The sequence below is a fragment of the Homo sapiens genome, chromosome 2 (assembly GCF_000001405.40).
Source record: "Homo sapiens chromosome 2, GRCh38.p14 Primary Assembly".
Lineage (NCBI taxonomy): Eukaryota > Metazoa > Chordata > Mammalia > Primates > Hominidae > Homo > Homo sapiens.
The window spans coordinates 104732993-104736217 of NC_000002.12; the positions used below are offsets into that span (position 1 = coordinate 104732993).

General features: G+C 44.2%; 1 non-coding gene across 1 annotated transcript; it reads left to right on the forward strand.

The window, feature by feature from the left end:
• Positions 1–241: 241 nt before the first annotated feature.
• On the forward strand, positions 242–370 carry LOC124900520 (small nucleolar RNA SNORA72). The gene has a single exon (XR_007088711.1). It is a non-coding gene; the product is annotated as a small nucleolar RNA SNORA72 (small nucleolar RNA).
• The last annotated feature ends 2855 nt before the right edge of the window (positions 371–3225 follow it).

Below are 3225 nucleotides of genomic sequence, written 5' to 3' on the forward strand. Positions count from 1 at the left end.
TTTAAATGTTTGAAATATTTTGATATTGGAAACTATTCTTAAAAATATTTAATGAATAAGTTGTCTTTTACATGTTGTTAAGCCAAGATAAAAAGACTCAATGAAAACTTTGCTCCTTATTGGTGACGACATGGATTTGCATGCTTGGTGTTTATTTGGTTGAAGCCAGTGTCCTGGGGAGGCGTATACCAGAATTCACACGCTCAAAAGGAACACACCAGGGGGTCGGAGGAAGCTGCTCCTGAGAATATCTTGCTGTTCTGATTTTGTAATAGGACAGGCTATAAAGATTGGCTATATTAAGGCCACGCACATGTCCCCAGACTTAATTCTTTCCCTAGGTCTGGTTTTATAAACTCTGGTAATAAACCAGGTCAAGAAGAAGGTGTTGGGCTATCAGTGTGAGTAGCTTGGAAAAAATGTCAACAGACATTCTTTGTCTGTTCAACCAAATAAACACCAAGCATGCAAATCCATGTTGTCACCAATAAGGAGCAAAGTTTTCATTGAGTCTTTTAACCTTGGCTTAACAATATGTAAAAGACAACTTATTCATTAAATGTTTTTAAGAATAGTTTCCAGTATCAAAATATTTCAAACATTTAAAAATATTGCTGTTATTAACCTATGCTAGGTTAAGAGGCGGTGCTGCCAAGTTCTGAGAGCAAGGCTGCAAGTGCTGGGAGAGCTCAAATCTCCCGTGTGACCTGGCCAAGGAGCAGAGTCCCAGGCACCAGACCAGGGCCACCACGCATGCCTACAGGAACTGCATTCACCTGGAGTCCAGCACGAATGTCGCCCTCTAGAGCACAGTGCAGGGATGACCTCTCACATAGGTAACCCATGTCCCTGGAGGCCCACCACAGCCCTGCTAGTCCCTCCTCACAGGTTCAGTTCCACAAAACTGTGGTCTAGATACAAGTTGAGGGAAGAGGATTTGCTTGACCCTTCCCAATTCAACCCGGCCATACTTGTTAACATAAAATGCTGGCTACCCTAGACAATGGAACTTTCTAACTCTTCTATGCCACCAGCAACTTCTCCACGCCAAATGTCAGGGCTGCCTGGTAGATGTCACCTTCCAGGGTAAACCCAAGAAGTAGCTGGCAAGGCTAGAGATCATAGAAGGAGCAATAGCCAAAGGCACAGTGCCGTTCACCTGACTCAGGCAAAGCCATATATTTTAAAAGTCTGAACTGTGCAGGGACCAGATTCAAACTAGGAGCTGCCAAAAACCCGCTGATATCAGGGGACATCAGGGGCCCATCAATAATACATGACAGCTTCCTAAGAGAGAGGCAAGCATACTCAGTCTTGTAGATGAATATGCAGATGGTTGCTTGGTTCTTTTTGCTCCATATAATAATAATAATAATATCATCATCATCATCACCATCACCGTCACAGCTGACAGATCTTTACCGGTCACATATATCAGCAGTGTTCTGAGCACTTTACACACATTCATTTTGTGTAAAGCGCAAAATGATTTGCACACCAACCTTGTGCAGGGTACAGCCCTTCATGACAGGCTCTGCTTCATGACTGCTCCTTGCACTTCTTACCTCCTGCCCTGGGGATACCCTGGTGTCACAGGTGAACCCACAGAATCCTGCTCAGCACTCCCACATGCAACTGGGAAGTACAAGGGTATTGTACACTCAAGATGAAAGGTGCACAGTTCTGAGGCATGTATTGTAAGGTCCTGGGCACCAAGCAGCCCAGCCATACACCGTGATCACCTCAGTTAGTCCCTCCCTCCCTGCAGGCTTCTCTTTCCCAGCTCTTTACTCTTATGCCCTAAGATCTCATTCCCATAAATTACTCACATGTTAACCTTTGTCTTGTCCTCTGCTTTCAGATGATCTAAGCTAGGATAGTTGGCGTTATGGAATGAATGTTTTTGTTACCCCAAAATTCAGATATTGAAGTCTTAACCTCCAATGCGACTGCATTTAGTGATACGGCCTTTATAGAGGTAATTAAGGTGAAATGAGGGCATGGGGTGGGGTCCCATCTGATAGGATTAGTGTTCTTATAAAAAGAGACCTCAGAAGGTGAACTCCACTCTCTCTCTCTCTCACTCTCTCCCCTCCCACACACATGCACACAAAGAAGAGTTCATATGAGGACACAGTGAGAAGGCAGCTGTCACAGGAAACCACAAAACACATCAACCCCGGCAGCACCTTGGTCTTGGATCTCCAGCCTCCAGAATGGTCAGAAATACATGTCTGTCGTTTAAGCCACCCAGTCTGTGATATTTTGAATGGCAGCCCTAGGAGACTAAGGCAATTGGTAAAAGGATAGCCCTGGAAATAGTATGCTCAGAATAAAATACTAGAGCGGGGTCACCGACCAATCAATCAGATGGCCATAAAGATGTCACTGCTGGGGTGAGTGGGTTTGTGCAGTCAGTCTCTATGACTCTTATCTGTGATTGATTGGGATGGGGGACAGGTGATGGTGAAGCATCAGGTTAGTGACAATCATTAAAAAGGAAACCACACATGTCATTCATTCTGCATTTATCACACTCATAGAATAAGCAGCATCAACCTTGAACCCTGATGTAAAGTATGGACTTCAGTTCCTACCAACATATCAATATTGGCTCATTCAGTTGTAATGAATGTACCCCCCTAATGTAAGACATTAATAATAAAAGAACTGTGCATGGGGGTAAAGGGAGGGGTACATGGGAACTCTCTGTACTTTCATTTTTCCTGTGAATGCAAAATTACCCTTAAAAAGTCTATTAATTTAATTTTAGTCTTAAAAATTAAGACTTTTAATTTAAAAGATAAAATAAATTTGAATATGAGGAAGTTAATAAAAAAGAAAACAACAGGCTCAGATGAGTCAACTCTCACCTCAATGTAGGCTCAAAATCACAGTCAAGGTCTTATGAAGAGAGGCAGAGGTGCACAGGAGACTGCACGTACAGCCAGGATGGGTCTGCTATGTGGAAATCAGGGCAGTCACAGGAAAGCATAAGTCCCTGAGACTTTGTAGAGGCCAGGCAGGCTGGTGGATGAGCTGAGCCTGAGAATCTTGAAGGTCAGATCCCCTGAACTCTCTGTACCGGCACAAGCAATGCCCTGCTCTGTGATGGAAGAGAGCAGCCTTCCCCACCTGGATCCCTGCAGACATCTCACCTACAGCGTGCTTCTCAGACCACAATGCCTGTCCTCCTCAGGATCTGTTCCCACCCCACCCGCTTTG